The sequence below is a fragment of the Homo sapiens genome, chromosome 21, assembly GCF_000001405.40.
Source record: "Homo sapiens chromosome 21, GRCh38.p14 Primary Assembly".
In the NCBI taxonomy this organism is placed as follows: Eukaryota; Metazoa; Chordata; class Mammalia; order Primates; family Hominidae; genus Homo; species Homo sapiens.
This window is the reverse complement of record NC_000021.9, coordinates 25,363,529-25,388,042: the sequence shown is the minus strand read 5'-3', so window position 1 is coordinate 25,388,042 and position 24,514 is coordinate 25,363,529. Positions and strand designations below refer to the sequence as shown.

At 37.3% G+C, this 24,514-nt stretch overlaps 1 long non-coding RNA gene across 1 annotated transcript in view; it reads left to right on the top strand.

The window, feature by feature from the left end:
• Positions 1–2,223, top strand: part of LINC00158 (long intergenic non-protein coding RNA 158) — a 45,882-nt gene extending 43,659 nt beyond the window's left edge. Inside the window, exon 5 of the long non-coding RNA NR_024027.2 lies at positions 1,705–2,223. This is a non-coding gene — a long non-coding RNA (long intergenic non-protein coding RNA 158). The remainder of the gene's footprint in view (positions 1–1,704) is intronic.
• Positions 2,224–24,514: the final 22,291 nt, after the last annotated feature.

Sequence of the window (24,514 nt, the reverse complement as noted above, 5' to 3'; positions counted from 1 at the left end):
GCTATCAAGGGCGGGGGAAGCCAGTTTTTGAGGAGGTCACTTCAAGCCTTGAGTTCCTTTGTCTAACCCCCTGTTCTCCTGGCTGTTTCCCATTAATTTTTGGGGAATGTGCTATGAACTGATGGGCACAGATGTGTGTAAAACAGAGACGGTTATAGACAGTCCTATTTATTCAAATGTGACAGGATGATGGACCTAGTCATATCCATAGAACCAATTATAAGCTAAACCCATGCAGGTAGTTAGGTGGAACAGACACATTTAAAAACGAAGAGCACTTTAATTCTTGAATTAATGTTAAATTCAGCCTGAATTTATTGGATAAATGTCTCATTTCATGTAAGTAAATCTAACTAAAGACTTTAACTAAATCTAACTAATGACTCTAACTAAAGCTATTTCCACAGAGATGTAAATTGTTCTTGATGAATACAATGAAAGCAAGTAATAATCGCTTTTTGGAACTTAGAACAAATTCACTTCAGGTGAAGGTTAAGCACTTGAGAATAAGACAATTATTTTTCCTTTCAAATACTAAAGAGTTGCAAAAACTCTGGTGATAAATTGGAACATTTGGGAAATGAAGGCAACAGTAAGATTTAATTTATTGCCCATGTGTAAGAATTCTAAGTTTTGCACATTCCTTGTAATCTTTTCCTATATACATGTAAAAACTGTGTAATTACATAGTTTAAAATTTCACTGTAATATAGCATGTTCCATAAATGATTTTTCAGGTTCTAGGACAGTCCTTATGATTATAATGGTTGCAAAATAGTTCACTGCATAGAGTTAACCTAATTTAATTTATTATTTTTATTATTAAACATGTAGTTTCTTTCAGCTTATTATCATTATTAACAATACTGCAGTAAATGGCCACATGGAACCTACATGTTTCTTTGTTTTGGATTTTTTTCATTGCAATACATGTCCTAAATTGGGATTACTGGGTCAAAGGTTATAAAATTTTAATGACTATGCAAACTGACTTAAAAATAACTACAAATAATTTAACAAAAACATGTGGGTATGTAATCCACTGAATTCTCGCTTGCTTTAGAAATTATATTTAAAGGTCACATAAATTGACTAATTAATATTGTAGAAAAAAATGATACTTTGTGTTAATTTGTGTGTCTGAATACTTGTGAGGCTAAACACTGTCCCGTAGGTTGCTTTAGCCAACAGAAGGAGTTATAATTCTTTCATTCGGTAATTGGACAAATATTTTTTGAGCGCCTACAATGTGCCAGGCAGTTTTTTTTGTTTGTTTGTTTCAGAGCACACAGCAGTGAAGTAAACAAACTCCCTTGCCCTCATGGATTTTATATTCTATGGTAAAAAAGACAATAAACACAATAAGTATTAAAATTATGTAGTATGTTAGAATAACTGCAGTAAAAAATAAAGTAAGATAAAAATAATAAGGAGTTTGTTAGCAGAAGTTGCATTTCTAAATATGGTGGTCATTGAAAAACAAACATTTGAACAAAGACTTGAAAGAGGTGGAGTAGGTCCCATATGGTATCAGAGGAAAGTGTTGCAGCCAGGGATGTTAAGTTGTAGAAGACCCTAAGGGGACCATGTGTGAGGTGTTGCAGGAGAATCAGGGAGGCCAGTTTGGCTAGAGTGAAGTGAAATCTTTGATGTGATGAAGTGATGATCTTTGATGAAATCTAGTAATGCTTATTTGTTTCATAGGAGAAAAACAAGGAGAGAAAAATCTAAACCCAGCAGAAGAGAAAGTTTAAGAAAGCGGTCGTCGCCAATACCAAAATTAGCTATGATATTCAGGAAGAAAAAAATGGAAACACGATAACCACAGTCAATAAAGACCAAGGCCACATTCCATTGACCAGAGCTCAGCCACGCGCCACACCTGGCTAAAGAGACTCTGGCTGAAGAATTCCCTGAATATTTTAATGTAGCTCTAGGTTATAACACAGAACAACCACAAGGTGGCAGAAGAACTCCATTCTTGTAAATCTCTTAGTTGCTTCTTTATTTCATCTTCCCTATTCCATCTAATGTTCCCTGAATTTTACTATTTTGTTGGTTTGAAAATATGTGTGACTTACGTCCTTTAAAGGATTTGGTTCGTAAGGTTTTGAATAGACTGGAATATAAAACATTTATAGAAAAGAAAAATACCTACAGTATGATGTTAGTGAACTATTAATAATCCAATTAAATAAAATATATTTGCTTTGGATTAATACATATTTTGTTTTGATGTTTGCTAAATAAAACTAAGCATTAGGAGGCCAAATAGCCACAATGAACATTTTCATATTATTTAATAAGCCAGTTTCAAGGCATACATGCTAAATTTGTTCTTAAGGAAAAGTTGAATTTTTGCTTTCATGAAATTACAAACTCTAAGGCAATTTTACACGTGTAAATCCAATGTGTTCTGAAGTTTAAAGTGTCAAAGGCTGTTGGATTTAAACAGATCTTGTATGACTCTCTGTTTCATCTCTTCAGAGGTTGATAGTAAGCAACTTTGGCAGCAACTCACAGCTTCTGCTGTAACATGAGGCTAATAATGACGACTTTATAAGGTTGTTGCAAAGAGTCAGGGATGCCACAAGCAACGTTCTTTATATATGCAGAATTTTAAAAATAAAGTAAATAAAAATATTCCTTCCTCTATTCCCCATTTTTCTAACATTATTTGCAACTGGTGTTTTAATGCAAGACCAAAGGCTAAAATATACATGTAGCTAGCAGAATCAAAACCTAGATCAGATGTTCAAAAGCATCATGCTGCTAAAAGATTTCAGAGTCTAAAACCTGTGCTCACTCTTCTGAAACATCTTTCCACTTCCTGTTTAAAAAAAAACGTGATATTCTTTGAAGCTCATTTTTTGGGCTTCATGTGTTGTAATTATACATTTGTTATATAGGGTATATGATGACTTACGCTCTAAGGTATTATTCAGTACATTGTAGAAAAAGGAGAATAAAGAATGTTGTTTGTCAGTAGGCAGCTCTGTCCTCTTTATCCTTGACTGTAATTTACTAAAGAGCTGACAAAATTACAGCACAGGCAGCAATTCACCATATTACCCTGCAGACAGCCAAGAGACTGACATTGAGATGATGCGTTTTAACTTGGGTCCATGTAAGGAACCTGATGGGGTTATATGAATTCTTTTCTGTACTATGAAAAAATGAAGTTGCTAATAAGAAGGAGGTACAAAAGTGTGTACTCTGCGCAAGGCTACTGATAAAGATGCTACAGGGATGCGTGGAAACCCAATATGTAACACTGAAATGGCTTTTGATTCATTTGTATTTGGTCTCAGACAAGAAAATAGATTAAGAAAAGGTCTGAAAAAATGGAGCACTAGGAAAAATGATAGGAAATTTTGTGTTGTTGATAGTTATCTAATATGAAATACACGTTTGTAATATTTTGACATATATGATTTAATACAACTATATTTTGTAATAAATATCTTTAATTCTAAGGATTGAAAATCTTAAAAGGATCTAAATTTTATAGTTATAGCTGTTTTGTTTCAATAGGCTGATGGACTTGGAAATTCCAGGTTTCTTAAACATATTCGATGAACTTGAAAAGCAGGGGGAGATACTTTCAGATGGCCTTGAATGGGAGCGGGGGGACCCTGGATTTCACTGGACACATCTTTCTTCCTTTCTTCTCTGTAGTTTGGGACCTCTTCTTCTCAACTAGTCAGCAATTATAAGAATGAAAATTACCAGCCGGGCGCGATGGCTCACGCCTGTAATCCCAGCCCTTTGGGAGGCCAAGGCGGGGGGATCACGAGGTCAGAAGATCGAGACCATCCTGGCTAACACGGTGAAACCCCGTCTCTACTAAAAAATACAAAGAATCAGCCGGGCATGGTGGCGGGTGCCTGTAGTCCCAGCTACTCAGGAGACTGAGGCAGGAGAATGGTGTGAATCCGGGAGGCTTATGTTGCAGTGACTGCACTCCAGCCTGGGCGACAGAGCGAGACTCTGTCTCAAAAAAAAAAAAAAAAAAAAAAAAGAATGAAAATTACCTTAGCAGCTATTCAGAGTAGGTCCAAAAGATAATCAAATAAAGAAGATTTCAGTATTCTCAAGGTGGAAGAGACAATGTCTTTGCATCTGCAGTTGGAAAGCCTGGAGTAATCTCCTTCCACTGTGGAAATCCCTTCTGTCCTCAAGGTCTCAAGCATATGATACCTTCATGATGGATTTCCTGACTCTTGGAGTTAAAACGTTCCGTCCCTTGCCTGCACTCACGTAGCCATTAGTTTATCAGGTGTTACATCCTCAAACAGAGCTGCTAGGCCACGTGTGCTCTTTACATACAACCTCTGACGCTGGCTAATGACTACTGGGCTGGCATTTTTCTCAATTCTTAAGAAAAACCAAAACCAGTTTGGTTTTCTTTTTAAGTAGTGGTAAAATAGACATCATGTAAAATCTACTATTCTAACCATTTTTAAGTGTACAATTCAGTGGCATTAAGTACACTCACATTATTATGTAATTATCACTACTCAACAGTTTTTTGTGTGGATTTTTCAGGGTTTTCTAAATATATAATCCTATCATCTGTGAACAGAGATAAATTTAATTCTTCATTTCCAATTTTATTTCCTTTTTTAGAACTTCTAATATTATGTTGAATAGAAGTCAGAAAAAAATGTGTGATTATACTTCTATGAAGCACCTAGAAGTCAAATTCACAGAGCTAGGAAGTAGAATAGTCTACGAAGGGCTTCGGAGAGGGGTAATGAGAGTTATGGTTTAACGGGTACAGTTTCAGTTTGTGTTGATGAAAACATTTTGGGCATGGAATATGAGCTTTTGTCTTAGGTTCTGATTTCAGAGAAAAATGGCCAATATATGCTGCTTTTGTTTTGCTCATGGCTAGAAAACTGGGGTCTGGGAACCAAGGGATGGAAGTGGGATTGGCCTTTTTCACTATCACTTCCAGTGATACACTTTGGGAGAATATTCATCTTCACAGCCTTAGGATCTTCCAGAATAAAATGTCTGGTTTCTCATGGGTATAACACACCTATGGGAGGACACAGTAAGAGTTCCAGTGAATGAAGCTACTCTACCCCTGGTCACTCTTGAATCCCCAAATCAGAGGATCAGTAGGCAAAAAGGGGGTGTTCTATATTGGTAGGATAATTGAGTCTGATTATTGCATGAGGACTGATGTTGCATCATGGTATCTGGTAGGAGTAGCTCTGGAATTTGGAAATTCACTGGGTTATCTTTGGATGCCTCCATGTTCATTGACAACTATAAATGAGAAATTGAGCAACCTTGGCCCAACCAAGATGAGACAAATAAAAACTAAGGTTTCTCAAGGATGAAGGTCTGGGTTATCCAACCAGAAAAGCCTCGAGCTGCCAAAATACTGGTCAAGGCAAACTGAAAATAGATGATGAAGAAGATTGATGGTGGATATTAGTTATGGCCTCAGGTTGATGACAGCATCAGGGACTGGCCCATCAATCCTTTATACTATGCCCCTGTAGACACCGGGGTTGGTTGGAGATTGAAGAGGCCTCTGTAACACTTGGGACTTAAGAGAAGCCATGCCAGACTGCTGCTTTTTGTCTTATATTGAAGGGAAATATCCGTGCTTGAGTATTCTACTTGATTTTTTAAAAAATAGCAAAGTTATCATTAAATCATTGCTTGTTATGAAATCCAGCCATTGTCAGCTATGAGAGTTGCCGGGGTAGGGCGTGTTTGAGTATGTACGTGTCTGTTTCCTTTGCACTATTTCAGTTCTAACCCTTGAATTGCTAATTGGGGGAGGGAATGGCCTCTTTTTAGATTGTCCTTGTTTTGACTTATCTGCCAAGGCAAAAGAATGTCAGAGGGTTTGCCACACAGTCCTGCAGGGACCCCTGCACTTTGCCAGGATTTTTGTGTCAAATACTTTGTTTGGCCAAATTTAGAGAATAGTTTAAAGGGGGAAAAAGCTTGCATGTGATATGTCTAAATATTATGTTAGAATACTTTTAAATAATATGCTGTGATTGGAATCTTTCTTCCTGAAGGTTGCGGAGCGTGCTGAGACAGTGCAGCTGTGTCTCTGCTCTCTGCATTCTTGGGCAGGCATCACTGTTTGTCTCCTCATACAGAGGGCTGAATGCACTATTTCACACTGATGCCACATTTTTAAATCTAAATATGATTAACATGTTTTAGGGTGTTTATCAAATAATTCACTTTTTTTGCAGATATTAAATGCTAAGATATTAAAAAAAGAGCAAGAGAGAAGGCATGCCACAGACTGTGTAATACTAGAGGAGGACTGTATTGGACACAGTACCACCTTTTATTCCATATACTTCTGTGACAACCAGGTCTATGCAGGATTTGACTAGCTCTGTACAGATATCATCTGATGGAGTTTTCACCTGGTACCTTACCATGGACCTCTGACTTTTGTTAAAGGCTTTTCTGGAGCATCGGCATTGGATGTTCTTGGAAGCTTGCTCACCTCTCATGAGTGTGCAATCTGAGCACTGGAGGAGATAATGCCCTGTGAAGGATAAAAACCAATTGATAAATGGCTTCTTCTCTCTTTCCCCAGGCAGATAGTTTTGACATATATTCCATAAGAGTCCTTCAAAGATTCCAGGAGATCAAAAACCAATCACCAATTTGAAAAATCATTCTCATATTGAATTTTTCTCGTACCTTGTTCTACTTTCTTTCATTCCTGCTCTCTAGGATAATCACTTCCCAAATAGAGTGCTCCACCTAAGACTTTGTCTCAGGATCTTTTTTTAGGGATCACAGGTTAAGACACAGCAGAACCATCATATGAGCTAATTTTGATGAAAAAAACAATCTTTGGAGGAGACTTCTGGTTCCAAAATGGCAACATAGAAGCAAACTGGCCTTACTTTTCCCCATAGAATACCAAAAACAAATATGCAGTACGAAGATTATCACCAGCAATATCTCAGAACTCAAATATGAGGCTGAGATGTTCCTGGGGCCACAGAGAAGTGAAAAAACTCTAAGAAAACAGTAAGAGAATTGGACCTTCATATTCATGACATCCATCCTCCCATCTGCCCAACACCAAGCATGTGGAAAATTTTCCCAACTCACAGTTTCTATACTGGAAAAAGTGCGATCAAGGTGATAACAAGCTTCTCCATAATCCCAGGTTCTTTGGCAGGGTAACTGTCCCTGCCTCAACCCACAGGAAGCATTGGGAGTACCTAAAGGGAGAAATATCCTGGAAGACAGTTAGAGACAAAGAGGAGAGGCTGGACTACTGTTCTTAGCCCAGGAAGCTCTGCTCTGCAACTTGGTCAAAGAGATGGCAAATCAGAGTGGCTGTTCAGCAGCATCAAACTGTAAAAGGTTTGTTCCACAGGTCACTGGGCGTGAATCTTTAGGCACAGGCACCATTCTAATACTATTAAGTATCTCCTTTGTGACCTCTCTCATTTGAGATGGCAGCACTCTGATTGTTTCCTAGAATCAAGGGAGACTTGGGTGTAAGACACCATCTAGTACTGAAAAGAAGCAGTGACCAAGCAGAGGAAAAAGAAAATCAACAGAGAAATTACAAAGCATCTCTAAGCAAACATATCCAATAAAAACCCGAACAACTTAGACAAAAAGACTAGAATAAATAATAAATCCTTCAATGCAAAGGCATAGACATATATCCACAAGAAACAATAGCAAATAGGGAACCATCATTTCTCCAAAGGAACAAAGCCAGGATCCAGCAACTGACTCTAACTAGATGCTGATATGTGATCACTCTGACCAAGAATTCAAAATAGCAGTTTTAGGGAAACTCAGTAATCTCCAGGATAACACAGAAAAACAATTCAGAAATTTACCAGAGAGATTTAATAATGAGATTGAACTAATAAAAACAAACAGACAGAAATCTTGGAACTGGGAAATACATTTGCTGAATCAAAAATTCATTAGAAGCAGCAGAATGGCTTAAGCAGAGGAAAGAATCAGTGAGTTCAAAGATAGGCTATTTGAAAATACACAGACGAGAAAAAAGAAAAAGGATATAAAGAAATAATCACCAAAAAGAAATAGAAATTTAACTTGAAAGACTAAACCCAAGAATTATTGGTGTTCAAGAGGGAGTTGAGCAAGAGGAAAGAGTGGAAAGCTTATTTAAATACACAATAACAGAAAACCTTCCAAAACTAAATAAAGAGGAAAATATCTAAGTACAGGAAGGTCAGAGAACACCAAATAGGTGTCTGACCTAAATAAGACTACCAAAAGTCATATTACGATCAAACTTTCAAATGTCAAGGACAGAGAGAATCCTGAAAGCAGAGAAGCAAATAACGTATAAAGGAGCTCCAATTTGCCTAACAAACCTGTCAGTGAAAATCATACAGGCTGTGAGGGAGTGGAACAATATTTTTTAAATAACTTTTAGTTTAGGTTTTGGGGTACATCTGAAGGTTTGTTACATAGGTAAACTCATGTCACAAGGGTTTGTTGTGCGGATGATTTCATCACCCGGGTACTAAGCCCAGTGCCCAGTAGTCTTCTTTTCTGCTCCTCTCCCTTCTCCCGCCCTCCATCCCCAAGTAGACCCCGGTGTCTGTTATTCCCTTCTTTGTGTTCATGAGTTCTCATCATTTAGCTCCCACTTACAAGTGAGAACATGGAGTATTTGGTTTCCTGTTTCTGCATTAGTTTGCCTAGGATAATAGCCTCCAGCTCCTTCAGTGTTCACACAAAAGACATTAACTCATTCTTTTTTACGGCTGCATAGTATTCTGTGGTGTATATGTACCACATTTTCTTTATCCAAACTGTTGTGGTTGGGCATTTAGGTTGATTCCACATCTTTGCTATTGTGAATAGTGCAGCAGTGAACATTCACATGTATGTGTCTTTATGGTAGAATGATGTATATGCTTCTGGGTATAAACCCAGTAATGGAATTGCTGCGTCCAATGGTGGTTCTGCTTTTAGCTCTTTGAGGAATCACCATACTGCTTTCCACAATAGTTGAACTAATTTACACTCCTACCAATAGTGTATAAGTGTTCCTTTTTGTCCACATCCTTGACAGCATCTATAGTTTTTTGACTTTTTAATAATAGCCATTCTGACTGGTGTGAGGTGATGTCTCATTGTGGTTTTGATTTATATTTCTTTAATGATCAGGGATAGTGAGATTTTCTTCATATGCTTGTTGGCTGCATATATGTCTTCTATTGAAAAGTGTCTGTTCCTGTCCTTTGCCTACTTTTTAATAGGGTTGTTTTTCTCTTGTAAATGTGTTTAAGTTTCTTATAGATGCTAGATACTAGACCTTTGTCAAATGTATAGTTTGCAAAAATTTTCTCCCATTCTGTAGGTTGTATGTTTACTCTGTTGATAGTTTCTTTTGCTGTGCAGAAGCTCTGAAGTTTAATTAGGTCCCATTTGTCAATTTTTGCTTTTGTTGCAATTACTTTTTGCACCTTTGTCATAAAATCTTTGCTCATTCCTATGTCCAGAACGGTATTGTCTAGGTTGTCTTCCAGGGTTCATATAGTTTTGGGTTTTAACTTAAGTCTTTAATTTATCTTTAGTTGATTTTTGTATATGGTATAAGGAAGGGGTCTGGTTTCAATCTTCTGTATATGGCTAGCCAGTTATCCCAGAATTATTTATTGAATAAGGAGTCTTTTCCCCATTGCCTTGTTTTTGTCAGCTTTGTCAAAGATCAGATGGCCATAGGTATGTATCCCTATTTCTGGGCTCTCTATTATGTTTCATTCATCCATGTGTCTGTTTTTGTACCAGTACCATGCTGTTTTGGTTACTGTAGCCCTGTGGTGTAGTTTGAATTGGGTAATGTGATACCTCTAGCTTTGTTCTTCTTGCTTAGGATTGCCTTGGCTATTCAGGCTATTTTTTTTTTTGTTCCATATGAATTTTAAAGTAATTTTTTCTAGTTCTGTGAAGAACGTTAATAGAACAACATTTTCAAAGTGCTGAAAGAAAAACATCCTGTCACCCAAGAATACTGTATCCACAAAACTATCCTTCAAATATAAAGGAGAGATAAAGTCTTTCCCAGACAAACAAAAGCCGAGAGAATGTGTCACCAGCATACCCATCTTACAAGAAATGGTAAAATGTGTTCTTCGATCTGAAAGAAAAATACACTAATGTGCAGAAGAAAACTTTTCAAAAAGTATAAAACCCACTGGTTAAACTAGTCCACAGACAAACCCAGGATCATCAAATATTGTAATTGTGGTGTGCAACTCACTCATAAGTTTAGTATGAAGCCCAAAAGACAAATCTGTCAAAAACAATAATAGCTATAGCAACCTGTTAAAAGGTAGGTAACATAAAGGTGGGTAAATAAAGCCAACAAAACTAAAAATATGGGAGGGTTGAGTTTAAAAAATGCACAATTTTTTTTATTTTTCTTTTTTTCCATTCTTTTCTTTATGATTTAAGTTGTCATCTTTTAAAAATAACTTGTTATATCTATAAGATGTTATTGGCAAGCCTCATGGTAACCATAATGCAGACACCTATAGTAGATTCACTGAAAAAAAAAGGCAACAAAATAAAGCATACTACCAGAGGAAAAGGAAATCACTTAACCACAAAGGAAGACATTATGAAACATGGAAAGAGAGAGAGAAATCTCAAAACAAACAGAAAAAAAGCAAGAAATGGCAACAGTAAGTCTTTGTTTACAAAAAATAACACTGAATGTCAATGGACTCAATTCCCAAATTAAAAGGCATAGAGTGGCTGAATAATAAGGAAACAGGGCCCACATATATGTTGCCTACAAGAAACTCACCACACCTATGAAGACACACATAGATTGAAAGTAAAGGGATAGAAAAAGATATTTCATGTAACTGGAAACCAAAAAAGCAAGTAGCTGTACTTATATTGGATAAAATAGACCACAATTAAAGACTGTAAAAAGAGACAAAGAAGGTCACTATGTAATGATAAAGGTGTCAGTTAAGCAAAAGGATATAACAATTATAAATATCTATGTACCCAATATTGGAGTTCCTAAGTATGTAAAGCAAATGTTAATAAATCTAAAGTGAGTCATAGATTACAATACAATAATAGTAGAAAATTTGAACACTCCACTCTCAGTAATGGACAGAATTATCTAGACAGAAATCAACAAGCACATGTGGAGTTAAACTACACACTAGACCAAGGGGCCTGACATTTATAAAACATTTCACCCATCTGCTGCAGAATACACATTGTTTTCATCAGCACATGAAACATTCACCAGAATATACCATATCTTAGGCCACAAAACAAGTCCCAACAAATTTAAAAAGGCAGAAATCTTATCAATTATCTTATCTATCCACAATTGAGCTAATCAAGAAATCAATAACAAGAAGAACCTCAGAAAACATACAGACATATGGAAATTAAACAACATGCTTATGAATGACCAAGTCAATAAATTAAGAAGAAAATTTAAAAAATTTCCCTAAACAAACAAAAATGAAAATACAACATACCAAAACCTATGAGATATAACAAAAGCAGTACTAAAAGAAGAGCTTAAATCAATAAACACCGATATCAAAAAAGTAGAAAGACTTCAAATAAACAAGCCAATAATTCGTGTCAAGGAACTAGAAGAGTAAGAATAAACCAAACCCCAAATTAGTAGAAGGAAAGAACTGATAAAGATTAGAACATAAATAAATAAAATTGAGAAAAAAATAAGATCAGTGAAATGAAAAGTTGATTCTTTAGAAAGATAAACAAAATTGACATACCTTTAGCTAGACTAAGGAAAAAAAGAGTGAACACTCAAAGAATTCAAATCAGAAATGATAAAGGAGACATTATTAAATGAGATGATATAAACACAAAGAATCATTAGAGGAATATTATGAACAACTATACACCAATAAATTGTAAAACCTAGAGGAAATAAATAATTCCTGTACACATACCTCTTACCAAGATTGAACCATGAAGAAATAGAAAACTTAAACAAACCAACAATGAGTAACAAGATTGAAGCTGTAATAAAAAGTCTCCCCTCAAGGAAAAGTCCAGGACCTGAGGGCTTCACTCCTAAAATTTACAAAATATTTAAAGAAGGACTAATACCAATTCTACTCAAATTCTTCAAAAAAATGGAAGAGGAAGAAATACTTCCAAACTCATTCTATGAGGTCAGCATTCCCCTCATACCAAAACCAGACAAAGAAAAACAAAAAAGGAAACTGCTGGCCAGTGGCACTGGTGAACATAGATATAAACATCATCAACAAAATACTAGCAGACTGAATTCAATAGCATATTAAAAAGATCATTCACCATGGTCAGGTGGAATTAATTTCAGGGTGCAAGGACGGTTCAACATATGCAAATCAATAAATGTGATACATCACACTCACAGAATCAAGAACGAAACCATATAATCATCTCAATTGATGCTGAAAATGCATTCAATAAAATTCAAAATTCCTTTATGATAAAAACTCCCAACAAACTGGATATAGAAGGAACATACCTCAAAATAATAAAGGCCATATATGACATTTATGGTTATCAGAGGTCAAGAAGGAAGGGTAGGGGAAATGGGGAGATGAAGAGAGGTTTTTTAAATGAATACAAATATACAGTCTGATTAAACATAAGATCTAGCATTTGATAGGTCAGTAGGGTGACTACAGATTACAATAATCTACCGTAGGTTTCAAAATAACTAGAAGAGAATGAATGTTTCTAGCATAAAGAAAAGACAAATACTTAACATGATAGATATCCCAATTACACTATTTGATTTTTACAAATTATATGAATGTATTAAATTATCACATGTACCCCCAAAATAAAAAATAAAAATAAAAAATATGAATGAAAATTAAAAAAATTATTGAAGAAGTGATGACGTAGGTAATACCCACTCAATAAAAGGAATGTGGAAATATTGAAATTAAAAGGCCATTCACAGGATGCATGTGAATTTGCCTTCAATATCTCTTAGTGAACTCCCATGATATATTCATTTTCCTTCATTTTGGGGTTTTACAATTAGCAGTTGGCCCAGTGATTGATTGATTGATTGATTGAATAGAATCAAGTATAGTAATTATACTGAAGATTGGAAGGTTTGTGTATATTTTAAAGGTACTAACTGAAGTCTCAGGAATGAGTGGAAACAACTTTACCACTTAGAATTTCTCCCTGACGGGTGTTGTATTAAATAGGTAACTGAAGGATTAGTGGTGAGAAAAGGAGAAGAAAGTGACAATTTATTACTCGCTCTCAATACAGGCTCATTAGCTAAGTCAAAGAAAGGACTTCTTTTCTTCTGGATCTAATACTACAGTAGGAGCTCCCAATCTGAAGTTTTGCTTTCTGCGGTTTCAGTTACCTATGGTTAATGGATGTCCAAAAATATTAAATGGAAAATTCCAGAAATAAACAATTCCTAAGTTTTAAATTGTGTGCCACTCTGAGTAGCGTGATGAAATCTTGTGCCGTCTCACTGCACCTTGCCCGGGGCCGGCATCACCCCTTTTTCCTGGTGATCCACGCTGAACATGCTCCCCATCTGTGAGTCACCTGGTAGCCTTCTAGGTTACCAGATCAGCTGCGGGGATATTGCAGTGCTGGTGTTCAAGTAACCCTTATTTTACATCGTAATGGTCCCAAAGCCAAGAGTAGTGAGGCTGGCATGTTGTTATAATTGATTATTAGTTATTGTTGTTAAACTCTTATTGTGCCTAATTTATAAAATAAACATTTTTGTAGATATATACGTACAGGAAAAAGCATCACGCATACAAGGTTTGTGCTATCTGTGGTTTCAAGCTTAGGGGTTTGGAACGTACCCCTTGAACGTAAGTAGGAACTACTGTGTTCGATTGCGTGCTCACAAGGAAAGAAAGGGAAGAGATTGACAGAGACAGAATGAATTCTGGAAAGTCAGATTTGCCTGGGTCTGCTTAAAAGTAGGGGGAAAAAGCAGAGAGCTCTCGTGGATACTCCTTAAGGTACTTAGTATAATGTGCCTACGATCATCTCCATTTCTGACAACCAGCAACTTCTTTCTTGTGGAGGAGTTAAGAAGTGGTGGGTGAGGAGCAGAAGTGGGTGGGGAGAGAGGCTGGAAGTGAGAGGTCCCAAAATGCATCCTCCACTCTGGGCATAGGTAGTAGTGTGAGGAGAGGAGGGGGAGGGGAAAGGGGAGGGGAAGGAGGGGGAGGGGAAAGGGGAGGGGAAGGAGGAGGAGGAGGGGGAATGGGAGGGGGAGGAGAAGGAGTGGGAAGAGGAGGAGGAGGAGGAGGGGAGGGGAGGGGGAGTAGGAAGAGGATGGGGAGGAGGAGGAGGAAGGGAGGGGGAGGAGAAGGGGGAGGAGTGGGAGGAGGAGGAGGAGGGGTGGGGAGAGGAGGAGGGGTGGGAGAGGGGGAGGAGGAGGGGGAGGAGGAGGAGGAGGGGTGGGGAGCAGGAGGAATTTCCTTTGCTACAGATGTCAGCATTAGTTGCATTTCCCATGTGTTTGAGGTTTCATCTTGATCCCACAATGCTTGAGCTCATTATACCTGGTGTGTTCAGCAGTTTCTTGAACCTGGAAAATGTATTTAAGGTGCTTAATCAAACATTCAGTAAAGGAGTCTCAGCTGAGGACAGAGAAGTCTGTAGTTCACTTATATAAGGACCTTTCTAGACCACAAAAAAAGAAGGTAAACAAGATCCTTTGAGATTTACACAAGAATGCAGGGCATGTCATCCTTTGGGTGAACATGTTTCTATTTTGGCATTTAACTGTTGTTTGCATGCACTAAAATATAATAATGAACCTATTCCAGCCATTTTAAGAGGGAGGGTTGTGTGTGTGGGCATTTTAACTGTAGAATTCTTTGAACTAGAGATTATTCAAAGTTTACTTAGGCAAATGCTATTATGTACTAAGTAAAATTTCAATTGTGTGAAACAATGCCTCTGTAAAAAGCAATTGCTGCAACCTAATGAACTTCAGACCCTTCAGGTACAAAGGAATTCAACCAAGTAAGGCTAAAGCCAATGATCCCCCAATACTGACGGCTTTGGTAGTGTCAGTTGACTGTGACAAAAGAAAGAAGGTAACAGTGAGCATCTGAAAAAGTGAATCTCCTGTGGTTACCGACTAGCAATAAATTAAGAAGGTAAGACCCACAGAATGCCTTTGAGCATAATGTGATGGGCGGGGGGGGGGGTTTGTTTAAATCAGATTATGCAGGTTGACTTTGAAAAACTGCATTTGTCTTGGATATGCCTCCCCTTCCCTTCTACCTAAGGATTCTGCTAACCCTAGAGTCACATCTGAATATGGAGAAATACGATCATTTTGGAAGAAATCTCGGATTTGGTGTTAGATAAAAGTGATTTCCAATTTCTGCTATGCAGTTTGCCAACTGTGTGACTTTGAGCAATTTACACAACCCTGTTGTGCTTCCATTTTCTCATCTCTAAAATAAGGACTATGATAATACCTATGTCATAGCATAGACTATCAAATGATGTGTGTGAAATTGTTTATAAATACACAAGTGCCATCCACCTCTAATTCACACAGCCTGTTCTTTTCCACAGCATGTGCTGGATGTCAGTGATTGGAAAATTTACCTTTTCCTATGTCTGTCCATTTCTTCTACATTATTCGTTCTTGTCCCTTTTGGAGGGAATGGTGCCATCCAACTGTGCATGGTTCTATACCTTGATAACAGCTCCACAGAAATTGAACTTAATGTATGCTGCAACACGTGTCTGAAAATAAATGGGCTGTGAGACAGGAAATGCTAGTTCTGCCTCTCTCCCAGTGAAGTCGAGATGAGACAGCTGTGCCTATAAATGAAGCCATTTGAAGAGTTAACATGGAAGACAGCTCCACGTAATTGCGAACTTCTGTGGAGCTACTCACAGACCATGCTCTAGAAATTAATAAAAGTAGTGAATAAGATGGGAAGGATGCACAAAATGAAAACCAAAGGAACAAATTAGTTTTCCTGTATGGTTCAACAGCACTAAATCCAAAGGCTGCCAGGCTCTGCTGGTCTGTGGTTTAAATGGGATTTTTAAATGATTTACATCAAGGCTATGTAAGAAATCAAAGCAAAGCAGGATAAAAATAAGGAATGATGTCACTTGTGATTCTAGTGGGTAAAAATACACTGAGACAAGGAAGTAATTGGTAATTAAAATAATGAAAGAATTCATCATGTTTGCCACTAAATTGAAAGCTAACATGTCATGTTTGCCAATATTTTCATCATTCACTTAATTTCAAAAAAGTTTCTCATCCACTCAAGTGTGTGTTTGTTCATTCATCCATCTAGACAAAAAAATTTCAGAGATTTCTCTATATACCAGGTACGATCATCAGAGCTTTTATACGCTTTTCACTTAATTCTTATAACGATCATTCTCCACAGGTAATATTATTCCAAGATTTAAGTCAAAGAAATTGAGTTGCTTTATCACATATCAATATGATAAATTTAGCCAGAAATGAAATTGTGATTTGAATTCAGTTTTTTTCCTTTAGTATCTGATATGATACCTTTTCCACTACAAGAGAACTGCCTGTTATGCACTCAACTGGTATATTAAAGTAAATGAAAATTTTTGAATTAAAATATAAATGTAAGATCTTATTAGTAATTTCTTAATAGCCTCTGAAAATTGGAAACAACATATGAGGCGCTTACACTTACCTATAGTGTAGCCAGAGTGAGAGGGTGGTAATGGCAAATTTCTTTCTTTGTACTTATGCCATGAAACCTTATTTGTTGGATTTTATATATTATTGTTCATCCTGCCAGGTAGAATTTAAGGTATTTATCTTATTTATTTCATTACCTCCTAGACTATGCTTTCTCATCAGAAACCTACACTGTAAGTTTTAAAAATGCGCATTTCTGAGTTCCATCCCTATCTTACTGAATCTGAACTTCTGGGATTGGGCCAGAGAATCTTCATTTCTTTTTGAGACATGTTCTCACTCTCACCCAGGCTACAGTTCAGTAGTGTGATTACGGCTCATTGTAATGCCTCATTCGTAGGTTCAAGTGGTCCTCCTGCCTCAGTCTCCCAAGTAGCTAGAACTATAGGCAAGCACCACCATACCCAGCTAATTTATTTTAAATTTTTTTGTTCAGACAGGGTCTCACTATGCTGCCCAGGCTGGTCTCTTACTCCTGGCCTCAAGTGATCCACCTGCCTCGGCCTCCCAAAGTGCTGAGAGTACAGATGTGAACCACTGCACCTGGTCTGAAATCTGCATTTTTAACCAGCAGACCAGTTCATTCTGACATGCTCGAGTTTGAGAACCACTGACCAGGCGATCCTCTATACCAAGCCCACCCACAGTGTTTGCTGGCAGCATGGCTGACTCTTTCAGAAGCTAATTCATCTGACAGGTCCTGACCCCCAAGTCTGGGCCCAGCACTGTGCCAGGAGGCCCTTCCAGCTACACCACATCACATGAGGTCACATCACATCAAAACCCATGTGTCTCGTTCATATTCCATGGCGACTGTTGGCTCACCACAGTCCTACTCAGAGTTCTGAGTCAGCCTCAGAAACACTGGGAGCTCTGGGCCACCTCATATCGAACATGAGTCAGAGCTGTGATCTCTGCTTCCCATTCCTGGGCTACGCTGCTGATGTGGTACTGGATTCCTTCCTAGTCAATCAACACAGACCTTCATTTCTACAGAGTTCTCTCACCCCCAAGTAAATAGACTAATTTCTTTCTGGTTGATTTAGGTATTAAAATTAAAGATGTAAAAATATTTATTTACTTGGGTAATGATGAATGAGTGCCTTGCAGGAGTAATGATTAATCATGCTCCACCTGGAAACCAGTGCCAAAACGACTCTGCTAATAGAATCCATCAACTGCTGAAATAAGTGATTGCACTGAAGCTTGCTTTATTGTAAGTTCCTTAATTTTACATTCTAGTTACATGTTGTCATTTCCTAATAAAAATTGTTTGGATTCCTTCCTGAAACATTTGGGGTGAGTCTCGAGGAGGTATTTTGCATTAGCTAAACACTGAATCATAAAACCATATTCGTTATTCTGGCAAGGTGACACATATTTTATTCTATGAAATTTAAACAACTATTTAAAATTAGAACAATCAGTAATAATTGTTAAAAATATGAGAACTATAATATTGTATGAAAAGAGCTCTCAGTCACTAACTAAAAAATATTTCTTTGCTGCCTATTATACATGGGTAGGTCAACATTCGGTGTAAGTAATGGCATAACTGGAGTTAGGTGTAACCTTCAGGGATTCTTTACTACCAGTAATTGTCTAACCCAGAAAGTATTTCTGCTGCCAACTCCCATCAGGGGAGCTTTGGCAGTCAAAAAAGTACTTCAGAACTCTCTATGTTACTGTTGTCAACTAGTTCAAACTGCATTTTGTTCTTCATGGGAGCAACAGGGTAAGAAAACCATGTCCTGGAAAATCACAGTGGTGAGAGTTGGCTCTAGATACACCTGTGAAGGATGGAGAGGCAGTTGTATATGCATCTACTACCATTTTCCTTTCTAAATTTTGGTGGAAGTAGAATAAACACAATCTTTGGAGTCAAAGCTGAGTTTAAATCCTGGTCCTAACTTTTATAAGGAAACTGAGACTTAAACTTTGTTTTCTCTAATTTGTACATGGAGTTTCCTGGCTGCCCCTGCCTTGGTTTTTCAACTGGATAATCCCAGGTAAAATGGGTTTCTTATGCTTCAAGAGTCAGTTTGGATGTTATCTTAGAAGCCTACTCTCAATCCTCCAGCTAGACAGGTGATCATTTTCTCTATACTTCATATCACTTATTATATTCTACTTCAATTGCCTATGTACTTTGGAAAGGAGACTTTATTTTTTATAAAGGGTTACAGACTGCAGGGTAGCCATCCTGCCAGGCTGGGAAGTGTAGCCTCCAGCAGAGACTGTTAACAGGCACTGCATAGGAGGGGGGGTTGGGGCAGGAGCTTTACGCTAAACAGGTTGGCTACACATATATATTCAACAGTTATAGGAGAAGCTATGAATATTTACAAAGAAGATCCTGATGCATGCATATTGAATAAACATGCATGTTACATGTGTCCCATTTCACGTTGGGAGTGGAGACTTCACCTTTAAATGCATTACAATTGGGTCAAAAAAGTGAAGCGAAAAAAACGAGGCACTCTAGCATGCAGCCTCTGTAAACTGGCCAGAACCATCCTATAGTTAGTGGCCTCTTATCAGAAGAAAGTTACTGAAATCAGCTTCTGGTTCAATCAAAGCTATAGTTACGGCTTGTGGAACAGGGAGTTAGTCTGCGTCTGGTGGTGGATGAGCTATAATTGTTTTTAATATTGCTTATCTTGAGGCCGATGCTCGTTTAGCCACTATGGAAAAAGAAATCTGGTGGCAGTTAGAACAGAATTTATTCTTTAAGTGTAGGGGTGTGTGACTTAACCCTTGCCTGGTATGGTGTTAGGTCTTTATAATTTGGTATCTTATTGCCACAAAGAGTCTGTTCCATCAGTCTTATGATCTGTTTCAGTGTTAATGCTGGTCAGTTTTCATGTCTAAACCACAAAAAGGAGGGTATCATGAAACATGTTTGAACTCCCATTCCATCATGGCTAGGAATTCAGTTTTTAATATTTCCCTGGGGTCCCATTGGCTAAGAGAGGGGTTCATTCCATCCTTGGGGGCTAGGAATTTTATTGTTAGTTCTCACTTTTTTTTTTTTTTTTTTTGAGACAGAGTCTCACTCTGTCACCCAGGCTGGAGTGCAGTGGAGCAATCCTGGCTCACAGCAACCTCCAGTCTCCCAGGTTCAAGTGATCCTCCTGCCTCACCCTCCCAAGTAGCTGGGACCACAAGCATGCACTACCACGACAGGCTAATTTTTTTGTATTTTTAGTAGAGACAGGTCTCACCATGTTGGCCAGGCTGGTCTTGAACTCCTGGCCTCAAGTGATCCACCCGCCTCAGCCTCCCAAAGTGCTGGGATTACAGGCATGAGCCACCATGCCCAGCCAGTTCTCACTTTTAAGACAGATAACTTCATGGTGCAGTATATGTCACATAAGGTGTGAATAAATATTTGGAAAATTTGATCCATAAAATATGGATAGTAGTAACCATTTCAAAAAGTGACCATAAGAACTAGGAGATGATCACTTCCGTTAAGTTCCTGCCACATAGTAGGCACTCAATAAGTTCTCGATTGAATCTTTCTCCCACTCCTAGCAATGGCAGCAGCCCAGTGGCCTGTCCTTTCCCCCCAACTCCACCAACAGTTTTGTGAGCCAACCCTGCATGGTCTTTTCTCTGCTTTACATCATTGTCATAAATCTCAACTGACACATCAGTGTCTCTGCCACCCCAAGGGGGGCCCTCAGGACAAATATTTTTTCATTAGAGGGGTCCTGCCTTGGCTGGAAGTGTTGAGGTCCTTTGTAGCACTGCCAAAACAAAACACAAACCAAACAGAATTGCCTTCATAATACTGAGACACAGGTGAAAGACTGAGCGGGAGCCTCTATGCACCTTTCAAAAGCTCACCTAAACTACCTGTTGCCAAAGTTCTAAAAATGGTTGTGCATATGCTGTCTCTGCTATTCCTTCTACCCTCAATCATGCCTCTTGGGACAACTGAGTGTTGGGGTCTAGTCGACTCATGGTCTGAACCTTTCTTATTCAAGGAAGAGGGGCATGTGGCGAAGCAGGCTTGTGGTTATAGAAACCCTTGTCCCTTTATAGAGGGCAACCAGATATCATCAGCATAACAAAGGGGAGTAGTATATTTTGATATACACAGTATTTTTATAACAATGATGGATATGATATATTGCTGTCAATTTTTACAATTGGCAGAGATAGAGGTGCTTTTTTCTTAAATCAGAAGGTACATATCTAGAACATCTCTCTCCGGAAAACTAGAAGACGTATGATAAAGAGTAGAGACAGCAGAGTCAGAAGGTGGACAGAGCCACAAGCAGAGCACTTAGGGAGAGCTGGCGTTTGGCTGGCTGGATAGAGTCTACTCTAGTTCTTGCTTATTAGTCAGTCACTGTTTAAGCAGCATAAATGTGTGCAATGTTTGCAAATATGTGTATAATATTTTGCTAAAATAATTTGGTTAAGAGAGAATTTTCCTACGTGTTTTAAAACACAACTAACTTTCAGAGGATAAGAATACAGTAAAATATGCATGACACATGAGTTGCATGGAATAGATTTGTGTTCAAGATTTGGAAATTGACTGAGATTTTTGTAGTATTTCATAGCTGTGTAGTCTAGACAGATAGGGCTTATCGGTGGACATGAAAACAAAATTTGAGGACTCACAGTTCAGTCTAGACTCGGGGTCCAGGGTTAACTATGTAATGGAAGATAGCCTTTGAGAGGGGATGTAGATAACAGAACCCCATGAGAGGCTAGTACAGTGTATAAAACCAAGGTATGAGTTTTTTCCAAAAGAAGAGGTCTCTTACCAAGACCGCTGTGGTCCTCATGAGTCTGTTCTTGAGGTAGAAATTCTGGAAAGAAAAAGCCTGCTGTGACTCTGGGCTGGCATTCTTATTTTCAGAGTGCACAAGACCTCTGTTGATGATACCTCCTGAAGAAGCAGTGAGTTGTACAGTATCACAAAAGAAACTTGGATCTTCCCTGGGGTTGGCAGGAAGCACAGACTCACCAGCTTCCATTTTACTGAATTACACGTTTGTTTTTGATGTGTAGGAGTTTAGTGGCAGGGATTCCATCCATCCTGCACAATTTCAGTGAGTCCTTTCATGAGAAAGAAAAGAATAGTAGAAATAACTATAAGAAAATACTTCTTATACTGCATATTCTGTCAGATTAGTCATGGTGTTCTCATAAAAAAATATAGACCAAAAGCAGACTTTGTCTGTATAGTTTATGAAACACTTTGTTTCTTTTGGTTCATAAATAATCACAGATGGTCCCTAAAAAAAGTATAAGATGAAATGTAAGAAGAAATTTGTTAAACGATAATTTTCATTTCTTGATGAACATAAACTATACCTGAATTTTGTTTTCCACAAAAAGTTTATTATGTGTTTTAAATTACTAAAATATATTACAGATAAATCTGAAGTGCCCTTAAGCTGCCATCCTTAATTTATTTTTTCTCCTTTTTTAAAGAAAGCTTTTATCATAAATTTAATGTTTTATTTTCTATTTTTTATTATTTAATGCAAACAGTATTCATGAGCAGTATAAAATATGATGTTGGTATGATTTAAAATTTTATACAAATTGTAGCATATCTTCACATATTCTGAAATATGCTTCCTCCACATTTTATACTTTTGTATTATATCCATCTTGATATGAAATTTTTATTTTTTACTTGTCCTAAAGAAATCTATTATATTCTATGTCACATTTTATTTATCTATTTCCTCACTGGTCAGACATTTTCAAAAAGTATGCCACTTAATTGCATTTATTGAGTTAGTATTTATTTACAAAAGATTTTCTGTATAAATTCTTTGTATAATATGGTGATTTTAGTAAATAACTATATATCGTATACTTGAAAATTACTAAGAGTAGATTTTACATATTCTCATCACAAAAAATAAGTATGTGATGTAATGGATATGTTAATTAGCTTGATTTAGCCATCCCACAACATATACCTGTAGAAAAACATCATGTTGTACGTAATATATACATATAATTTTTATTTGTTGATAAAGAAAAATGAATTTTCTGAACTAGTACTAGATATAGGGTATCTGAATAAAATGGATTGATTGATTTGATTAAAGAACGTCTACCTATAGAAATTATGACCCGTTTTTAGAGTTTTTAAAAACAGAAAGACATGTAACCTGAAATGTTTACCAAAAATGTTTCTATTTTATTATGTTTCAAATGATTCTTAAAGATATTGTCAAATTTTATGTGTACACCTTGTATTTGAGTAGGATGGTTTTGGGGTTTGGCAGATACTAATTCTGCTATGGACAAGTATTAGTTATGGACTAATGCTTTCGTTTTCCCATGGTTCTAACTTACTAGAGCAATAGACACCAGAATGACATGGTGAAGAAGCATACCGGTACCTTTAAAAAAAAATCCCTCGGCCGGGCGCAGTGGCTCACGGCTGTAATCCCAGTACTTTGGGAGGCCGAGGTGGGCGGATCACGAGGTCAGGAGATAGAGACCATCCTGGCTAATACGGAGAAACCCTGTCTCTACTAAAAGTACAAAAAACTAGCCGGGCGTGTTGGTGGGCGCCTGTAGTCCCAGCTACTCGGGAGGCTGAGGCAGGAGAATGGCGTGAACCCAAGAGACGGAGCTTGCAGTGAGCCGAGATCGGGCCACGGCACTCCAGCGTGGGCAACAGTGCAAGACTCCGTCTCAAAAAAGAAAAAAACCTTCAAATTACAAGGTATTTTGCAAACATGTTGGGGAATGTGGCTTGATCCTGAGGCTAAAAAGAAGCCTTCTACTATTATCCCACTGGCTCCTCACACCTGCATACCCCAAAGTGTACATCCTCTAAGTACCTTTAGAGTACTAGAGATGTTGTATTTCTTTTCTGGCTCTAGTTCTGAATTTTCACTTACGGAAGCTATTAGTCATTGGGTCCGAACAGCTATGGCTTATAAAAATGAATCCACAGAACATATCCTGTAGGTAGTCAAAAACTGTGTTAGCAAATTACAGGATGTAACTAGTTATATAATTATTTTAAGCTGAGATATAACAGGTGTACTATTTTGTAGAGTGGACTAGATAGTTTATTCAATGATCTATTTTATCACTTTGTCTTTCTTTAAATCATAGATACACATAAAAATATGCGTAAACTTGATGAACATTTAAACTGAATCAGAATGTCTAGTATCTTAACAACGCAAGATACAATATATAGTAATATATCCTCAAATCTGTAATTTTATAAAATTTGTTGCAATTATGAGTAGAGAGCCATTTTGAGTAATTATTTTAGTGTTGTAGAAATATTCCCATTAGGAACTTATATAGACAAAATGTTAATATTCTTTCAGACCATAATGTATTTGCAAAGCGTGGAAGCACTTTCCGTTATCCTTATACACAGGAGACCTAGGTAATAGCATTATGTAGATAATTTTACCTCAACAGAAATAATATAACCATAGACATTGATGATAAGAAAAGCTCAAGAGGTACTTTAGGCCATTAGCCTGAAAAATTTCTGCATATCTTAAACTTTTGTGTCTGATCTAATTTGTCTGACTTTAATGGTTCCACTTTTAACAATTTCCAAAGAAAAGTTTTTGAATTTTTAATTGAGATATTTCTTATTTTACCTAAGGTAATAATCAGAAACTATATGATAGAAATTAGAAGCAACAGAATCTGTTAGGTGGCTGGCTTCAAGCTATTTGCTTTCTCTTCTAAACATTAGGTTTAGTCTCATATTATCAAGGATGTAACACCAACCAGCTGACCAGGTGGTCCTTTATGCGTGCAGCATAC